General features: G+C 40.2%; 1 protein-coding gene across 6 annotated transcripts in view, besides 1 other annotated feature; it reads right to left on the minus strand.

Moving 5' to 3' along the window:
- MAPK10 (mitogen-activated protein kinase 10) overlaps positions 1-21,423 on the minus strand; it is a 583,670-nt gene that overhangs the window by 439,774 nt on the left and 122,473 nt on the right. The window contains exon 1 of one of the 6 annotated variants that reach the window (NM_002753.6): positions 2,852-3,017. The exons of the other annotated variants lie outside the window; for them this stretch is intronic. The gene's annotated coding sequence lies outside the window, so the exon portion shown is untranslated. Of the gene's footprint in view, positions 1-2,851; positions 3,018-21,423 lie in introns of those variants that run through there. 6 annotated transcript variants of the gene reach the window in all.
- Positions 3,023-3,571: an enhancer, noted in NCBI's record as "H3K27ac-H3K4me1 hESC enhancer chr4:87374354-87374902 (GRCh37/hg19 assembly coordinates)". NCBI's record gives its function as "activates a minimal SCP1, AML or CMV promoter by ChIP-STARR-seq in naive H9 embryonic stem cells {active_cell/tissue: H9 hESC(naive)}" and the evidence as "EXISTENCE:reporter gene assay evidence [ECO:0000049][PMID:30033119]".

Consider the following 21,423-nt stretch of genomic DNA (forward strand, 5'->3'; position numbering starts at 1 on the left):
TACTGTGCCTGCACATTACAACTACAAACAGTAAATATCTCTTACCATTTAGTAAATTTATGGTGGAGTTTAGTCAGAGTGAAGTATCAGTATTATACAGTTTAATTATCTCCCTAAATTTACAGTGCTGTCAGTAGGAAATTCCAGAATAACCCCAGACACTCCAAAGCTTAATATTTCGGCACAACTTTTTCATACCACATACTTCAAAACCTGAGCTAAATATTACTCATCAGCATTCAAAATTTGACTAAACTGAAATCTTTTATAAATGTAAGAGTCTATTTGAAAACAGAAAGTATTATATTAATTTATAACTGAAAAATGGGGGAAAAACAGAGATTTATTTTTAAATAATTGAAATCCTTCAATTATCTCTGCCTCTGCCTCGTCAGTTACCCCTAGGGTATGAATTTTAGTGCTTTTCTTTTTTTAGGTCAGAGATGCAACCACAGTAACCTACCCATAGTTATAACTATAACAACATTTCCATGGCAAACCCAGTTTTCTAGAATTTCACATAATACAGCTATTTGAACACTTACAACCCAGCATATGGGTTCACGCTTGACATTTAATGTCTCAGTCATAAAGCAAACTGTTCCAGCACTTTCAAAAAGAACATTAAGATGTTGGCTTACAAAATAAAATGCTGGCTAACCAAACTTTTTTAATGCATGCAGTCCTAGAATTCAAAAGTATTCTTTCCATTAAAAGTTATTTTCTTTTTCTTCTCTGATACATTGTAAAAAGCTATAAAATTAGTGTCTGACATGCCATTTGGATGTAAATCCAAATCCTCAATTACGCAAAGAAAGGGAGCATATTCAAAGTTAAGTTTTAGAGAGATTTTGTGGAGTGTAGGCAAAGGTTTTCTAAAGAGGATGGAGATTTACAAGGTAACAAAGGCTTAAAGGAACTTCCCCCACTGAGGATCTCAGAGAGAAGTACAAACCGCTAATAATGGAAGCAAGGCCAGATTCTGTTTGTAGAGTCCTCTACAAATAAATAGGGTTGTCTTGACTCTTCAAGTAAATTACATTTTTATCATTCGGTTTTTAAGTTTTTATGTCCTACACTGTTATCCCCAAACCTTCCAGAAACCCAGTATACGAACAGCCTTATATTAGCAGTTCTGTGATGAATTATTAAATAGAGTAAAATATATATTCTGGTGATGAGGTAGAGAGGTAAAGGAGACCTTCACCAAACTACCTTGTTTTAGACTAGCATGGTAATAACATGAAGAATAACGGCCAATATTTATATGACATATTATATGCAAAGCATTTTATATGGATACTAACTCAAACAAACTACTTTAAGTTGACTTCCCCAGAACCAGACCCTGAGGCAAGGATTTGTGTGAAAGTGATTTAAGAAAAAGTGTTTCCAGGAGGAGTGGGAGTGGTACGGTGGGACCAGAAAGTGAAGGAGGCCAAGCAAAGGTGTGAACCACTTCAGAGGGATGATAACTCAATCCCACAGGAGCCCCAGTGTAAAACAAGCCTGAGTTATGTGCAACCCATGTGCCTGATGCCTATGGAGCAAGGGAGGTGGAGTATTTACATTCCTAAAGTGGCAGTCATTCATTAAGGCTGGGGAAACAGGGGAGGGCACACAAATTCCCAGGTACTTTTAGATCTCGAGTCCAAAGCAGGATCTGAGAGAGGAGTTGACAAAAAAAGACACCAGATACCAGCTCGGGGGATGACAGCTCATCTGGGGCCTGTGTGCACAAAGATGGAAGAGAAATCGAACACGATATGAACAGGACATCTGTTACATAACCCTCACAACAACCCTGTAAGGTAGCTATTTGTTTTATGTCCATTTTACAAGTGAGGAGACTGAAATGCAGAAAGATTAAACGAGATGCCCAAGATCCTATAGCTGATAAGTGTCAGAGTCAGGATTTGAAACCAGACTATCTGGCTCCAGAGTCTGCACACTCCTCCACCATATTATTAAATCAAGCACTAGAGCAGAGCATGCAGAGACCCAAGGAAGAACTAAAGCCATGGTTAGGAACCAAACAACAGAGAACAGGCTAGAGCCAGGAATGATTTAAGATGCAGCCCAAATATACTAACGTGACCCTTGGTAGGAGAGAGTGTGTAATTAGATCTATTAAGTGGTTAGTGCCAATCCAGGTATTAGACATTTGGGTTACACATAATATTCACTTTCACTCTAAGCATGCAAGAGAGAGAAATTATTGTAGGCATGGAAGCAGCTGTAGAAAAAGGGAAAGAACAAAACAAAATTTTCTCTCCCTCTTCCTTTTCTTTCCCTAATTCCTACTTCCTTCTCTTCCACACACACAAACATACAATGCGCACGCACACACACACACACACACGCAAGTCTGAAAGCTTCTTTCAGTTTGTTTCTGATAATTTATTAAAAATAATTAGGAAAATTGGCAGAGACATTAAACTCAACACACCATAGCAAGGGACCGAGTCAGAGATTTTCCTGTAAGCTAAGCTTGCCTATAAAAATAGCTTGGATAACAGATAGCTTTTTAATTAATTTTAAAAGCTAGTTGCAAAGGAGAGATCATGGCGGACGGGAGGCAGGACTGGACTGCAGCTCCCACTCGGACAGACAGAGCAGCGTGTGGAGGCTTGCATCGTGAACTTTTGCTCCAGAAGGACTGCAGGAATACATTAGGAATGCCGCAAGAACCCATGGACCCTCTAAAGGGTCCTGCAGGACCCAGGAGACACCCCAAATACTACGAGCGCCCAAACTGTGGAAGTGGGAAAGGGAGGTCGTCTGCCCCCAAACACACAGCCCCACTGGGGAACCTGAAGGTCTAGATTATCCGAGAAGATTCTGACCTTACCTGGAGCTGAGTCAATTTAGAGAGCTGCGTGAAATACAGGGGTAGAGGAAGCAGCGGCAAAATCCCTCTGGGCTCGCTGGGTCCCCTGCCACGCCATTTCTGCCTGGCCTCACAGGGGTCCTTGAGGAGGGCTGCTGGAGGCACTGGGAAAGCTGCAGGGAGAAGGAAAACTCCAGCTGAACTTTGTAACAATTTCAACTGATGGAGAAGTCTCTTGGCCAGAACTCAGGGGGAGGGCATGAATCCAGTGTGCAGACTCAACAGAGCAGGGAAGAAGGAGAGCCCTGTTTATTTTCACAGCTGGGAGGCGGGTAGCCTGGGGAAAGTACTCGGTCCTGCTTGCCCACTGCCTGGAGACAGCCTTGGTGCTGCTGCTGGGGGCACAATGGGAGTGAGACCAGCTGTTTGCGTTGTGTGGGAACTGGGTGAGGCCTGTGACTGCCAGCTTGCCCGCACTTCCCTGTCAAGCTGCATGACACAGCAAAGGCAGACATAATCCTCCTAGGAACATAACTCTATTGACCTGGGAACCTCACCCCCACCCCCCCACCCCACCCCCACCACAGCAGCCACAGCAAGACCCACCCAAGTAGAGTCTGAGCTCAGACATGCCTAGCCCTGCCCCCACCTAATGGTCCTTCCCAAGCCATCCTGGTAACTGAAGACAAAGGGCATATACCCTTGGGAGTTCCAAGGCCCTACCCACTGCCTGTTCCTCCCCATACTACCACAGCTGATGCTCTCTTGAAAGCACCACCTCCCGGCAGGAGGCCAACCAGCACAAAAATTGTGCATTAATCAATCAAAGCTAAGGACCCTCACAGAGTCCTTTTCACCAGTCTGCCACCTCCACTGGAGGAAGTACTGGTATCCACAGCTAAGAGACCCACAGATGGTTCACATCACAGGACTCTGTGCAGACAACCCCCAGTACCAGCCCAGAGCCTGTTAGACTTGCTGGGTGGCTAGATTCAGAAGAGAGATAACAATCACTACAGCTCGGCTTTCAGGAAGCCACATCCCTAGGAAAAGAGGGACAGTACTACATCAAGGAAACACCCTTTTGAACAAAAGGAACTGAACAACAGCCTTCAGCTCTAGACCTTCCCTCTGACAGAGCCTACCCAAATGAGAAGGCACCAGAAAACCAACTCTGGTAATATGATGAAACAAGGTTCTTTAACATCCCCCCAAAATCACACTAGCTCTCCAGCATTGGATCCAAACCAGGAAGAAATCCCTGATCTACCTGAAAAAGAATTCAGAAGGATAGTTATTAAGCTAATCAGGAAGGCACCTGAGAAAGGCGAAGCCCAGTGTAAGGAAATCAAAAATATGATACAAAAAGTGAAGGGAGAAATAGTCAATGAAATAGACAGCATAAATAAAAAACAATCAAAACTTCGGGAAACAATGGACACACTTATAGAAATGCAAAATGCTCTGGAAAGTCTCAGCAATAGACTTAAACAAGCAGAAGAGCTTCAGAGACTCAAACAAGCAGAAAAGCTTCAGAAGACAAGGTTTTCAAATTAACCCAATCCAACAAAGACAAAAAAGAGTAAGAAAATATGAACAAAGCCTCCAAGAAGTCTGGAAGTATGTTAAATGGCCAAACCTAAGAATAATGGTGTTCCTGAGGAAGAAAAGAAATCTAAACATTTGGCAACTATATTTGGGGGATTAATCAAGAAAAATTTCTCTGGCCTTGCTAGAGAACTAGACATCCAAATACAAGAAGCTCAAAGAACACCTGGGAAATTCATTGCAAAAAGGTTATCACCTAGGCACATTGTCATCAGGTTATCTGAAGTCAAGACAAAGAAAAAAAATCTTAAGAGATGTAAGGCAAAAATACCAGGTAACCTATAAAGGAAAACCTATCAAATTAACAGCAGATTTCTCCACAGAAACCCTACAGGCTAGAAGGGATTCGGACCCTATCTTCAGCCTCCTCAAACAAAACAATTATCAGCCAAGAATTTTTGTACCCAGTGAAACTAAGCTTCATAAGTGAAGGAAAAATACAGTATTTTTCATACAAACAAATGCTAAGGGAATTCGCCACTACCAAAGCAGCACTACAAGAATTGCTAAAAGGAGGTCTAAATCTTGAAACATATCCTAGAAACACATCAAAATAGAACCTCTTTAATGCATACATCTCACAGGACCTACAACAAAAATACAACAACAACAAAAAAAACAAGGTATACAGGCAACAAATAGCACAATGAATGGAACAGTACCTCACAACTCAATACTAACATTGAATGTAAATAGCCTAAATGCACCATCTAAAAGACACGGAATTGCAGAATGGATAAGAATTCACCAGCCAACTAGAGACACACCTTCAAGAGACACAAACTTCAAGAGACACACCTAACACATAAGGACTCACATAAATTTAAGGTAAAGGGAAGGAAAAAGACATTCCATGCGAATGGACACCAAAAGTGAGCAGGGGTAGCTATTCTTATATCAGACAAAACAAACTTTAAAGCAACAGCAGTTTAGAAAGACAAAGAGGGTCATTATATAATGATAAAAGGCCTTGTCCAACAGGAAAATATCACAACCCTAAATATAAATGCACCTAACACTAGAGCTCCCAAATTTATAAGACAATTACTAATAGACCTAAGAAATGAGATAGACAGCAACACAATAATAGTGGGGGACTTCAATACTCCATTGACAGCACTAGACAGGACATCAAGACAGAAAGGCAACAAAGAAACAATGGATTTAAACTATGCACTGGAACAAATAGACTTAACAGATATTTACAGGACATTCTACCCAACAAATGCAGAATATACATTCTATTCAACAACACATGGAACTTTCTCCAAGATAGACTGTATGATAGGCCACAAAATGAGCCTCAATAAATTCAAGAAAATTGAAATTGTATCAAGCATTCTCTCAGACCAGAGTGGAATAAAACTGGAAATCAACTCCAAAAGGAACCTTCAAAACCAGGCAAATACATGGAAATTAAATAACCTGCTCCTGTATGATCATTGGGTCAAAACTGAAATCAAGATGGAAATTTAAAAATTCTTCAAACTGAATGACAATAGTGACACAACCTTTCAAAACCTCTGGGATACAGCAAAGGCAACACTAAGAGGAAAGTTCATAGCTCTAAATGCCTACATAAAAATGTCTGAAAAAGCACAAACAGACAATCTAAGGTCACACCTCAAGGAACTAGAGAAACAAGAACAAACCAAACTGAAACCCGGCAGAAGAAAGGAAATAACCAAGATTCAGAGCAGAACTAAATGAAATTGAAACAACAACAACAAAAAAGATAAGTAAAACAAAAACCTGGTTATTTGAAAAGGTAAATAAGATTGATAGACCATTAGCAAGATTAACCAAGAAAAGAAGAAAGAAAATCCAGATAAGCTCAATTAGAAATGAAATGGGAGATGCTACAACTGACACCACAGAAATACAAAAGATCATTCAAGGCTACTATGAACACCTTTATGCACATAAACTAGAAAACCTAAAAGAGATGGATAAATTCCTAGAAAAAAACAACCCACCTAGTTTAAATCAGGAAGAATTAGACACTCTGAACAGACCAATAACAAACAGCAATATTGAAATGGTAATAAAAAAATTACCAACAAAAAAAAGTCCGGAACCAGATGGATTCACAGCAGAATTCTACCAGACATTCAAAGAAGAATTGATACCAATTCGATTGACACTATTCCACAAGATAGAGAAAAAGGGAATCCTCCCTAAATCATTCTATGAAGCCAGTATCACTCTAATACCAAAACCAGGAAAGGACATAACCAAAAAAGACAACTACAGACCAATATCCCTGATGAACATAGATGCTAAAATCCTTAACAAAATACTAGCTAACTGAATCCAACAACACATCCAAAAGATAATCTACCATGATCAAGTGGGTTTCATACCAGGGATGCAGGGATGGTTTAACATACATAAGTCAATAAATGTGATACACCACATAAACAGAATCAAAAACAAAAATCACAAAATCATCTCAATAGATGCAGCAAAAGCATTTGACAAAATCTAGCATCCCTTTATGATTAAAACTCTTAGCAAAATTGGCATACAAAGGACATACTTCAATGTAATAAAAGCCATCTATGACAAACCCACAGCCAACAGATACTGAATGGGGAAAAGTTGAAAGCATTCTGTCTGAGAACTGGAGCTAGACAAGGATGCCCACTCTCACCACTCCTTTTCAACATAGTACTGGAAGTCCTAGCCAGAGCAACCAGACAAGAGAAAGAAATAAAGGGCATCCCAATTGGTAAAAAGGAAGTCAAACTGTCACTGTTTGCTGATGATGTGATTGTTTACCTAGAAAACCCTAAAGACTCCTCCAGAAAGCTCCTAGAACTCATAAAAGAATTCTGCAAAGTTTCCAGATACAAAAATCAACATACACAAATCAATAGCTCTTCTATACACCAATAGCAACCAAGCTGAGAATCAAATCAAGAATTCAACCTTTTTACAATAGCTGCAAAACAAAATAAAATAATTACGAATATACCTAACCAAGGAGGTAAAAGACCTCTACAAAGAAAACTACAAAACGTTGCCGAAAGAAATCATAGATGACACAAACAAATGGAAACACATCCCATGCTCATGGATAGGTAGAATCAATATTGTGAAAATGACCATACTGCCAAAAGTAATCTACAAATTCAATGCAATTCACATCAAAATACCACCATCATTCTTCACAGAATTAGAAAAAAAAAATCCTAAAATCCATACGGAACCAAAAAAGAGCCTACATAGCCAAAGCAAGACTCAGCAAAAGAACAAATCTGGGCTGGGAGCGGTGGCTCACACCTGTAATCCCAGCACTTTGGGAGGCTGAGATTGGAGGATCACCTGAGGTCAGGAGTTTGAGACCAGCCTGACCAACATGGAGAAAACTCATCTCTACTAAAAAATACAAAATTAGGCCAGGCACGGTGGCTCATGCCTGTAATTCCAGCACTTTGGGAGGCCAAGGCAGGCAGATCACCTGAGGTCAGGAGTTCAGGACCAGCCTGGCCAACATGGTGAAACTCCGTCTCCACTAAAAAAATACAAAAATTAGCCAGGCATGGTGGCATATGCCTGTAATCCCAGCTACTTAGGAAGCTGAGGCAGGAGAATTGCTTGAACCTGGGAGGTGGAGGTTGCAGTGAGCCAAGATTGCACCACTGCACTCCAGCCTGGGTGACAGAGCAAGACTCTGTCTCAAAAAAAAAAAAAACTAGCCGGGCGTGGTGGCACATGCCTGTAATCCAGCTACTTGGGAGGCCGAGGCAGGAGAATCACTTGAACCCAGGAGGCAAGGGTTTTGGTGAGCTGAGATCATGCCATTGCACTCCAGCCTGGGCAACAGAGCGAAACTCCATCTCAAAAACAAAAAAAAAAGAACAAATCTGGACGCATCACATGACCTGATTTCAAACTGTGCTATAAGGCCATAGTCATCAAAACAGCATGGTGCTGGTATAAATATAGGCATATAGACCAATGTAATAGAATAGAAAACCCAGAAATAAACCCAAATACTTACAGCCAACTGATTTTCAATAAAGCAAACAAAAACATAAAGAAGGGAAAGGACACCCTATTCAACAAATGGTGCTGGGATAATTGGCAAGCCACATGTAAGAGAATGAAACTGGATCCTCATCTCTCACCTTATACAAAAATCAACTCAAGATGGATCAAGGACTTAAATCCAAGACCTGAAACTAGAAATTCTAGAAGATGGCTTTGGAAAAACCCTTCTAGACATTGGCTCAGGCAAAGATTTCATGACCACGAACCCAGAAGTAAATGCAATAAAAACAAAGATAAATAGCTGGGACTTAAACAAAAGAGCTTTTACACAGCAGAAGGAACAGTCAGCAGAGTGAATAGACAACCCACAGAATGGGAGAAAAATCACAATCTATACATCTGACAAAGGACTAATACCCAGAATCTACAATGAACTCAAACAAATTAGCAAGAAAAAAAACAAACAAGGCCATAAAAAAGTGGGCTAAGGCCATGAATAGACAATTCTCAAAAGAGGATATACAAATGGACAACAAACATATGAAAAAATGCTCAACATCACTAGTGATCAGGGAAATTCAAGTCAAAACCACAATGCAATACCACCTTACTCTTGCAAGAATGGCTATAATCAAAAAATAATAGATGCTGGCGTGGATGCAGTGAACAGGGAACACTTCTACGCTGCTGGTGGGAACATAAACTAGTAAAACCACTATGAAAAAAAGTGTGGAGATTCCTTAAAGAACTAAAAGTAGAACTACCATTTGATCTAAGCAATCCCACTACTGGGTATCTCTCCAGAGGAAAAGAAGTCACTAAAAAGATACTTGCACACACATGTTTATAGCAGCACAATTTGCAATTGCAAAAATGTGGAACCAACCCAAATGCCCATCAATCAAAGAATGGATAAAGAAACTGTGAGATATGTATATATAGATAGATAGATGATGGAATACTACTCAGCCATAAAAAGGAATGAATTAATGGCATTCGCAGTGACCTGGATGAGATTGGAGACTATTATTCTAAATGAAGTAACTCAGGAATGGAAAACCAAACATCATATGTTCTCACTTATATGTGGGAGCTAAGCTATGAGGATGCAAAGGCATAAGAATGACACAATGGACTCTGGGGACTCAGGCAGAAAGGGTGGGAAGGGGGTGAGGGATAAAAGATCACAAATTGGGTGGAGTGTATACTGCTCGGGTGATGGGTGCACCAAAATCTCACAAATCATCACCGAAGAACTTACTCATGTAACCAAACACCACCTGTTCCCCAATAACTTATGGAAATAAAAAATTTAATTAAAAAATAAACTTCTAAGAAAAAAATCTAAAAAAAAAGCTAGTTGTTTCAAATTCAAAACAGAATTTGAGATTCCCTGGGAAAGTTTATGTTCCATAAAATAAATATTTTTGTCAATCAGGTTACCACTAAATCTATCATTAAATCTTTGTTCATTTGAATATAGCAGAGTTTAAATTTTTAAAGAGTCTTCTATGGGTTTCAGCAACTGGGCAGACTGAGATGTTCAGACTCCCCTCAATTAGCAACACATAGAAGTGATGGCTAAAATATAACCCCCAAATAAACTTAACTACATAGTTGGGTATTGATAAAACATTAGAAATGTACATCTTAAGTGCCAGACATGAAACAGGGACTCAAAGCCAGAGATGTGCCTGAAGAAGCCAATGCCTTGGTTCTGGAAGGCAGGGCCAGGAGAGAAGGCATAGAAAACCAAGTCCAGGAACACACTTTCTCCTTTACAGGAGACCCAGAGGGAAGGGTAGAATGGTTCCCATATACATGGGAACTGGATATGTGACAGAGATCACCCGTCACATGTAAAAATCAGAAGAAAAAGGATGGAACCACCAATTAATGCCAATAGTGTAATGCTGGGAACAGGCCCCCAAATCTGGCCATAAACTGGCCCCAAAACTGGCCATAAACAAAATATCTGCAGCACTGTGACATGCTCATGATGGCCATGACGCCCACGCTGGAAGGCTGTCAGTTTACAGAATAAGGGCAAGCAACACCTGGCCCACCCAAGGCAGAAAACCACTTAAGGCATTCTTAAACCACAAACAATAGCATGAGTGATGGGTTCCTTAAGGACATGTTCCTGCTGCAGTTAACTAGCCAGAGCCCATCTCTTTATTTTGGCCCATCTCTTTGTTTCCGGTAAGGAATACTTTTAGTTAATCTATAATCTATAGAAACAATGCTTATCACTGGCTTACTGTCAATAAATATGTGGGTAAATCTCTGTTCAGGGCTCTCAGCTCTGAAGGCTGTGAGACCCCTGAATTCCCTCTCCACATGCTATATTTCTGTGTGTGTGTCTTTAATTCCTCTAGCACCACTGGGTTAGGGTCTCCATGACCGAGCTGGTCTCAGCAAATGATGCCCATACGTGGGGCTCAAACCCAGGTCGAAGGGTCATTGGAGTGATGGTTGGAGAACGTGGAACTAAGCTGGAGGACACCTGAGTACTCTTTTTTTTTTTTGAAATATTTAAAGAGGTTTATTCTGAGCCAAATATGAGTGACCAAGGCCTGTGACAAAGCCCAAGGAGTTCCTGAGAAACTGTGCCCAAGGCGGTTGGTTTACAGCTTGGTTTTATACATTTGAGGAGGACAGAAGTTACAGGCAGACATCAATCCAGAAAGGCGGGACAACTTGAAGTGGATGGGGAAGGCACAGGGTCTGGAGGGGCTCCAAGTCACAGGTGGAGTCAAAGATTTTCTGATTGGCAGTTAGTTGAAATCATTAAGTTATTATCTAAAGACCTGGAATCAAGGCCGGGTGTGGTGGCTCACACCTGTAATTCCAGCACTTTGGGAGGCCAAGGTGGGTGGATCACTTCACCTGAGTATCTTAAGCAATCCCCATGGTGAGTAAGAAGGGGAGCTTGGAAGCATCAGGGTAACAATGGGACAACTGTGGGCTCTGGTTCATTCCATCTTGGAACCTTTTCACACTGATGATGAGGAGGAAGGAGAGTATAATGAAGTAACAGAAGAAGTAACAGAGCAGATTTGTTTGCCAGCTAAAGCTAAAGCGGCAAAGGAGGAAGAGGTTCATCCCTACCCTTCTGCATCCCCTCATTATTTTGAAGAAAAAGAGTGGCCTGACCCTCCAGATCTTTCTTTTCTGGAGGACACTGGGCAAAAAGTAGTTGCCCCAGTAACTGTTCGAGCAGCACCTTGAGTGACCACTCTCAGTTCTATTCAGGCAGGAATTCAGCAAGCTAAACGAAAGGATGATTTAGAGGCTTGGCAGTTCCCTGTTAGCATACACCCCCCAAATCAACAGGGAAATATAGCTACATTTGAGCCTTTTCCTTTTAAATTCAGGAAATGCCATGCAGGGCCCATCCTGGGCCCCGTTCCAAACTGGGGCATTTCCAGCTCAGGCCACTCCCTCACCCCTATACAATATTTGTCCCCCGCCACAGCGCCACAGCCAGTAGTACTGCAGTAGATTGATACTGCACAAAAGCTATGAGTCTTCTGCCTAGGGAACCCCCACAAAAGGTCCCAACAGGAGTCTGTGGACCCTTGCCAGCGGGGATGATAGGATTACTTCTAGGAAGGTCTAGTTTAAATTTAAAAGGGGTACAAGTACAAAGAGGAGTCATTGATTCACATTACAATGGGGATATTCAAATTGTTATATCTACTTCCGTTCCCTGGAAAACAGAGCCAGGAGAGCCTATAACACAGCTCCTGATTGTGCTGTATGTGGAAATGGGGAAAAGTGAAATTAAATGAACAGGAGGATTTGGAAGCACAAATCAATAAGGCAAAGCGGCTTATTGGGTGAATCAAATTCCTGATAAACATCCTACCTGTGAAATAACTATTCAAGGAAAGAAATTTGAAGGTTTGGTAGATACAGAAGCAGACATTTCAATCACTTCTCTACAGCACCAGCCGTCCACGTGGCCAATTCAACCCGCTCAATTTAATGTAGCTGGAGTTGGTAAAGCCCTTGAAGTATATCAAAGTAGTTATATTTTGCACTGTGAAGGGCCTGATGGACAACCTGGGAATATTCAACCAATTATAACTTCTGTACCTATAAATTTATGGGGAAGAGATTTATTACAACAATGGGGAGCACAAGTTCTAATTCTAGAACAGTTATATAGCCCTCAAAGTCAACATATGATGCATGAAATGGAATATGTCCCTGGTATGGGACTAGGAAAAAATTTGCAAGGTTTGAAGGAACTGCTTCAAGCAGAAAGACAAAGTTCCTGCCAAGGTTGAGGATATCATTTTTGATGGCAGCCATTGTTAAGCCTCCAGAATCTATACCTTTAAAATGGTTAACAGATAAGCCAATTTGGATAGAACAATGGCCACTAAGTAAAGAGAAACTGGAGACTTTGAAGGAATTAGTTAATGAACAATTAGAAAAAGGACACATAGCTCCAATATTTTCCCCTTGGAATTCTCCAGTTTTCGCAATTAAGAAAAAATCAGGTAAATGGAGAATGTTAACTGATTCAAGAGGCATTAATTCAGTTATACAACCTATGGGGACATTACAGCCAGAATTGCCTTCTCCTTCTATGATTACAAAAAATTGGCCTTTAATAGTCATGGATGTAAAAGATTGTTTCTTTACTATCCACTTAGCTGAGCAAGACTGTGAATGGTTTGCATTTACAATTCCTGCAGTAAACAACCTGCAGCCTGCTAAGTGTTATCATTGGAAAGTGTTGCCATAAGGCATATTAAACAGTTCAACAATTTGCCAGACTTATGTAGGGCAAGCAATTGAACCTACTCGTAAAAAATTTTCACAGTGTTACATTATTCATTATATGGATGATATACTTTGTGCTGCCTCCACTCAAGAAATATTACTCCAATGTTATGATCACTTGCAAAATTCAATTTCTCGTGCTGGCTTAATTATAGCTCCTGACAAAATTCAGACTGCTACTCCTTACTCCTACTTGGGGACCTTAGTAAATGATATTACCATTGTGCCACACAAAGTAGCCATATGTAGGGATCAATTGGAAACATTAAATGACTTTCAAAAATTACTAGGGGACATTAATTGGATATGACCTGCTCTAGGCATTCCTACCTATGCCATGAGTAATCTATTTTCTATCCTTAGAGGAGATCCTAGTCTCCCTAGCCTTGGCAATTAACAAAAGAAGCTCAGGCAGAGCTGCAGCTAATCAAAAAGCAAGTCCATAAAGCTCAAATAAATTGAATAGATCCAGAGAAGACTCTAGATTTGCTAATTTTTCCAACTCAGCATTCACCTACTAGTATTATTGTTCAAGAGCAAGATCTTGTAGAGTGGCTTTTTCTTCCACATACTAATTCACAGACTCTAACTCTTTATTTGGATCAAACCGTGACTATGATAGGAAATGGGAGAACTCAGATTGTTAAATTACATGGATATGATCCTGGAAAAATTATTGTCCCTCATGAAGGCACAAATACAGCAAGCTTTTATAAATAGTCTTACTCATTAAACCCATTTAGCTGACTTTGTGGGTATTCTCGATAACCATTTTCTTAAAACGAAACTGTTTCCATTTTTGAAATTAACTAATTGGATTTTCCCTAAAATAACTAATTTAAACCAATTGAAGGTGCTAAGAATGTTTTTACAGATGGGTCTAGTAATGGTAAAGCTTCTTATTCTGGATCAAAAGGTAAAGTTTTCCAAATGCTCTATACTTCAGCTTAGCTGTAATTGAGGTATTCACTGCTTTTGATATGCCTATTAATGTGATTTCTGATTCTTCACACGTGGTTCATTCCACACAATTAATTGAAAATGCTCAGTTATGATTTCATACAGATGAACAACTGATGACTTTCTTTACTCAATTGCAAACAGCAGTTAAGAGTAGAATGCACCCTTTTTGCTGGGTGCAGTGGCTCATGCCTGTAATCCCAGCACTTTCGGATGCTGAGGCAGGCAGATCACGAGGTCAGGAGATCAAGACCATCCTGGCTAACACGGCGAAACCCCGTCTCTACTAAAGTACAAAAAATTAGCCAGGCATGGTGGCGGGCACCTCTAGTCCCAGCTCCTCAGGAGGCTGAGGCAGGAGAGTGGCGTGAACCCAGGAGGTGGCGCTTGCAGTGAGCCGAGATCATACCACTGCACTCCAGGCTGGGCAACAGAGCGAGACTCTGTCTCAAAAAAAAAAAAAGAATGCACCCTTTTTACATCACTCACATTAGGGCTCATACACCTCTTCCGGGACTTTTGACTGCAGGGAATCAAATGGCTAATCGCCTAGTTGCTAATGCAATATCTAATGCTAGACACTTTCACAATTTAACACACGTTAATGTCTCTGGTCTCAAACACAGATACAGCATTATCTGGAAAGAAGCTAAAGCTATTATCCAGCGATGCCCAACTTGTGAAATGGTACATTCCTCATCTTTTACAGGAGGAGTTAATCCTCGAGGATTGGAACCTAACTCTCTTTGGCAAATGGATGTCACACATGTTCCCTTGTTTGGGAGACTAGCTTATGTACATGTATGTGTGGACACCTTTTCTCACTTTGTCTGGACTACATGCCAATCAGGAGAGTCTTCTGCCTGTGTTAAATGTCACCTTTTGCAGTGTTTGGTGGTGATGGGCATTCCAGCTTCTATTAAAACAGATAATGCCCCAGACTATACTAGCCAAGCTCTAGCTACATTTTTCTCTGTATAGAATATTAAACACATTCCTGGTATCACATATAATTCTCAAGGGCAAGCCATAGTGGAAAGAATGAATCTCTCCCTGAAACAGCAGTTACAAAAACAAAAAAGGGGGAGAAATAGTGACTATGGGACATCCCAAATGCAACTGAATCTAGCATTAATAATTTTAAATTTTTTGAGCCTGCCGAAAGGCAAGATGCTATCAGAAGCTGAACAGCATCTACAGAAACCAGCTGCAAAGACAGAGGCAGAACAACTCATTTGGTGGAGAGATCCGATAACAAAAAGTTGGGAAATAGGTAAAATAATAACTTGGGGTAGAGGTTATGCTTGTGTTTCTCCAGGACCAAATCAACAGCCAATTTGGATATCATCAGGACACCTGAAACCTTATCATGAGCCAGATGCCGAGGAAGAGATTCCGGGAGGATCCTGAGGACCCCCCAGTTACAGCCATGTTGAGACTGACACTGAGAAGGACCCCAGCTGTCACGAGCAGCACCTGTCGAACACAGCCACCTACCTGGGGACAGATCAAGAAGCTGTCACAGATGGCGGAAGAAAACCTGAGGAAAGCGGGACAACCAGTCACAATGAGTAACTTAATGGTAGCTATGATAGCGGTGATCACCATTGCCATGAGTATTCCTTCAACAAGGGCTGACACAGAGAATAATTATACTTATTGGGCATATTTATCAATCTTGGCTGGCAATAATGCCTGGATGTAATCACTTTATGACAGTTACACATGCTTTCTGGTCTCAGTATTTACCATAATAAATCTACTCCTATAATTGAGGCATACCGCCCTCAAAAACTTATTTGTAAACAGGATTGGACCCAGTTAGAAATAATGAATGTACTTGTTTGGGAAGATTGAATTGCAGAACAGGCAGAGGTGCTGTGCAACGATTCCTATGGAATCATTATTGATTGGTCCCCTAAGGGGACATTTAGCTTAAATAGCACCTCTCAGTCTGCATGCCACGGCCACACTATGTTCAGCTGGTCTGAACAAAATGGTCAGATGGTAGAAATGGTAGGAAGTACAGCAAGAGTTCCTATTATCTGGAAACATAGCAGTATAGTGACACCTCAACCTCAAATGATATGGCCCGTTGTAGGCCACATGCTATATTTCTGTGTGTGTGTCTTTAATTTCTCTAGTGCCACTGGGTTAGGGTCTCCACAACCGAGCTTGTCTTGGCAGTGTAATTGATTAACTAAAAAAATAATAAAATTAGATCTCTATCTCATACCATACCCAAATATAGATTCCAGATAGGTCAAAAATACAAATGTAAAAATCAAGTCTTTCACAGAACATGTAGGAGAATCTTTTTTATGGCATTTGGTTAGGGAATTATTTCTTAAGCACAGCATGAAAAGCACACAGAACAAAAGAGGGTTTGGGACACCTAGTGTGGTTGATTGTACCCCTGTGAAAATATTTGCTGCCCCTCCCTCCCAGGCTAACCTGCGGGAGATTATATGCCCTCAGCCAAGGTCACTTGCTTCAGCAACAAAATGTGACTATAATGTGATATTGAAACAGAAGCTTTAAAAGCCCTCCTGTGGGTCTGTTGTCTCTCTTTTCTGTCACAAGACCACCATGTCCAAGATATGTGCTGCATCTTCAGCTGCAGTCCCTGGAGTGAAGATGATGTGGAACAGAGCCTGTCAACCCATGTGAATGTGAACAAGAAAATATGTCAGTTGCAGCAAACTCTGAAATTTGGGAGTTTTATGACCCTGGCGTGATTCAGCTTAAGTTGACTGAGATGATGGCTACATTCAAATTGTTAACCAAAAATTATAGAAGGCCACTGTATTGAAGCGGGCCTCACAGTAGGCCCCAACAGACCAAACCAAATCAGAATGGAGTCATTTGTGCCAAGTGTCGCATAATCAAATTGAATTCTTAAATTGTCCAGTTTTCACCAAAAACAAGAGATTCACAGCAACCAGTTAAAAGTGGTTGACTTTGCAGAGAAAGATAAGGAAATAAAATAGGTTGAGGGGTTTCACTGTGTCTACAGTGTATATTTCTTTTAAAAATGTTTTTGAAGCAAAAATGGCCAAAGCAATCTTGACATTTCTTAAATCAGGTGATGTATAGAGACAATGTTGTATTTACCTGAGCCCTGTTATCCTGGAAAACAGCATTTTTGTTTGTTTGTTTGTTTGTTTTTGAGACGGAGTTTCGCTCTGTCACCAGGCTGGAGTGGAGTGGCGCAATCTTGGCTCACTGCAACCTCCGCCTCCCGGGTTCAAGCGATTCTCCTGCCTCAGCCTCCTGAGTAGCTGGGATTACAGGCATGTGCCACCATGCCCAGCTAATTTTTGTATTTTTAATAGAGACAGGGTTTCACCACGTTGGCCAGGATGGTCTCGATCTCTTGACCTCGTGATCCGCGCACCTCGGCCTCCCAAAGTGCGGGAATGGCAGGCGTGAGCCACGGCACCCAGCCTACCATTGTTTAAAGAAGTCCCCAATACCAACCCTTTTGTGTTCCAGAAACTGGCTTACTGAAAAAAACCAAGAGTCCCCATATAAATTAGAGAAGACTCATAGATGTGCCCCTTGCTTACCTTGCAACGAGGCCAGATACAGACATTCTAAATTCCCATTCTTTGCCTCATAAATGATTAGCTGAACTGCTTGCCCCGCCGGTCGGCCAGAACAAAATGCTTGCTAACCAGAAACTTTGCTTTAGCTTCTCTCCTTTTCCCAGGTCCCTGAATTTTGGTCAGCCTACAACTCCTCCTTAAACCCTCCTGAGAATAGGCTGGCTCCAAGGTAAAACATTCTCTAACCTACTATCTGATATTGCTACGCTTTCATCCTGCTTCCCCATACCTGGTTGTTGCTAGCCTTGCTACTTCTCTCTGTAAAAGAAAATCCTTTTTTTGCCTACCTCTTGAGATGCTTGCATATATTATGGTCAAAACATTCTCCCTATTGCAAGAGTCCCCCTCCCCCTATTGCAATAGTCCCTTTGACCACTTCGCAATAATCCTTTCAAATAATGGCTCTCCTTACTAAGTCTGGGTTTTTTATTTGACAATAGGGGTATAGGCATACTTTTATGCATTTTGAATTATTTTATAATATGAACCAGATTTTGAAGAGCTTATTAAATAGAAAAATAGTCATTTCTAAAAGGTGAAACAGAATAGTTTTTTCAAAATGTCCTGATGATATAAGTGTGAAAATAACAAAGCAGTTGGGCATGGTGGCTCACACCTGTAATCCCAGCACTTTGGAAGGCCCAGGCGGGTGGATCACTTGAGGTCAGGAGTTTGGGATCAGCCTGGTCAACATGGTGATACCCCATCTCTACTAAAAATACAAAAATTAGCCAGGCGTGGTGGCATGCACCTGTAGTCCCAGCTCCTCTGGAGGCTGAGGCAGGAGAATTGCTTGAACCCAGGAGGCAGAGGTTGCAGTGAGCCAAGATCATGCCACTGCACTCCAGCCTGGGTGACAGAGTGAGACTCCATCTCAAAAAAAAAGAAAAGAAAAAGAAGGAAAATAACAAAGCAACAGAACTCAACTCATAGCAACTGTGTAGTAGAGGTAGGATTAGAATTCCCAATTGACCAGGCTGGTCAGGGGATTCATAAGAAATACAAATGAAGAAAGTGGGAATGTTAAATCTGGGAAAGCAAAGACTCAGAGGGGCAGAGAAGCTGCCTTCAGATATATGAAGGCTTGTTATGTGGCTTGTTATGAAGGCTTGTTATGTGGGAAATGGCATAGAAGGTTTCCACATGTTGCCATTAGAATTGTGATCAATTCTAGCTACTTGGGAAGCTGAGGTGGTTGTCCCCTTGAGCCTTGAGCCCTATGATCGCACCACTGCACTCCAGCCTGGGTGACAAAGCAAGTTTTTTGTCTCAAAAAAACAAAACAAAACAGAACAAAAAGAATTGTGATCAATAAATGGAAGCTTCAGAAGGCTTCAGCAGAATCTAATGAAGAATATCTAAGTTGTCCAAAGGTGGAATGGGCTACCTTGCAAGTCTGGAGTTCCTCCCCAGTACCAGTGCCCAGACATTATCTGTATGCACACTAAGAACAAGAGTATTGGGCAGGTTGTTGGACCAGGAAACCAGACAGCTCCTGGATTCTATGGTTCTGTCTAGTAGATAATGCAGAAAACACTTGAATGAACTTTAAGAACCAGGCAATCACTCACTGCCAAGATTTTCCAATTGCCAATACTTTCCAATTTCATCAAGCATAAGTAGCAGAAAGAGGATAGTAAATACCTCCTACTATGGTTATTTATATATGCAAACAAATACATGTATGCTTTAATAATTTTTTAAAGGGGGCAAAAGCTGAAACCATCATTAAGAGAAAGAAGCCATTCTTTCACCAGGATGTGCCCAAAGAAACAAAAAGAATTGTAATTCCCAAATACCAGATATAGCTTATTCTTCTGTCTTTGATGGGGCTGCATCCATTTGAGAGATTTTTTTAAGACTAAGAGGTAAAGACAATTGTAAAATATGTAAATTCACCAAAGAAGTATTTGATGACTGAGAATTGCATAGGGCAATGAGGCTTTTTCTAAAAGCCATAGCAGAAAACTCTGGATATATCAATCAATCCAACATAATCTAGACAATACAAGGTTCTGGAATAGCAAAAGAAAATGATAGCTGATTTAAGATTTAAGCAAATCCTTTAGACCAAAAGTAAACACTGCTTTGCAGCTTTGTTTGTTAGCTACTTTCTTATTCCAGCCTCCATGACCATGAAAGTCACAAAAGGGGGTATAATTATATTTCACAGAAGCTGTTCTTATTCTAAATCCACCCTTAATATAAAGCAGCCAACAGAGGAAATTATATTTAATAAGGCATCTGGCTTCTAAATGAAGATGCATCCCATTTTTATTCTAAAATAATTTTAATTTAGTTTGTAACTGAAACATGAAGTTGATGTCATTTGGAATTTCCTGTCCCAGAGAATTATGGTTATAGAGAAAATAACAGTATTGGAATATTTTTATCATACAAGATTGTGTTTTTATTTAAATTGGGACAAGTCTGAATAGATATTTTAACATTTATGTCTTCTAGGAGAGTTAAACCTCTTTTTATTCATAAAATCATGTTTGATTTAACTAAAATAAATATTTGCTTTCCTATATTGTCTTCTTATTTTAATATTTACCTATTTCCTTATCTTCTTAATTCATTAATTTTCTCATACCTCTTTCTGTTAAATATAATTTATTTGCCTTGTTCCCATTTCATCTCCCCTATTTTTTCTTCCTTTTTGTTTTTTCATTCTATATCTTGCTACTTCTTTATTCTCCCTTTGCAGCCAAAGGGATTCATAACTGTTTAATACCAAGGGAAAGAATTGAATGTTAGGTGAATGTATTGCTTTGCATGTAGAAGACAAGACTTTCCTATATTTCTTTTTAAAAAATTATTATACAAGATAGTTAAAAGGTGATGTGAAAAATAATAAAGGAATTCCAAAATAAACCAAACCAAAAGTCAGGTGACTCAAAATCAAGAAATTAAGATTAGTAGCCAAAACTACTTACCAAAACAAATCCAGTTATAAGTTTTATTCTTATTTAAATATTTACTGGCATTGTATTGCTAACGAAGAATTAGGCTGGGCATGGTGGCTCACACCTGTAATCCCAGCACTTTGGGAGGCTGACGTGGGTGGATCACAAGGTCAGGAGTTCAAGACCAGCCTGACCAATATGGTGAAACCCCATCTCTACTAAAAACACAAAAATTAGCTGGGTGTGGTGGCACGTGCCTGTAATCCCAATTACTCAGGAGGCTGAGGCAGGAGAATTGCTTGAACCCAGGAGGTGGAGGTTGCAGTGAGCTGAGATCATGCCATTGCACTCCAGCCTGAGCGACACAGCAAGACTCTGTGCCCCCCTGCAAAAAAAAAAAAAAAAAAAAGAATTAAACTAGTACATATAGTACAATTGCAATAAAAATGTGATCATATGGAGAAATTATCATTAAGGAAAAAAGTCTTATTTCGTAAGTGTTAAACTGATGTATTCTTACAAAATAAGAGATAAACCCATGAAAACTGAATCTAATGGATGCTGAACACAAAGCCATCATTTCTCAAAATAATTGGCCTCTCATGTTTTCCTTAAATTAAATACAATTGCCTGGATTTATATTTGAAAAACAGAAATACATTTTACAGTTTAAAGTAATTATATAAAAATGGTTGTTTCCTGAAAATATAAAACA

Source organism: Homo sapiens, chromosome 4, assembly GCF_000001405.40.
Source record: "Homo sapiens chromosome 4, GRCh38.p14 Primary Assembly".
NCBI lineage: Eukaryota > Metazoa > Chordata > Mammalia > Primates > Hominidae > Homo > Homo sapiens.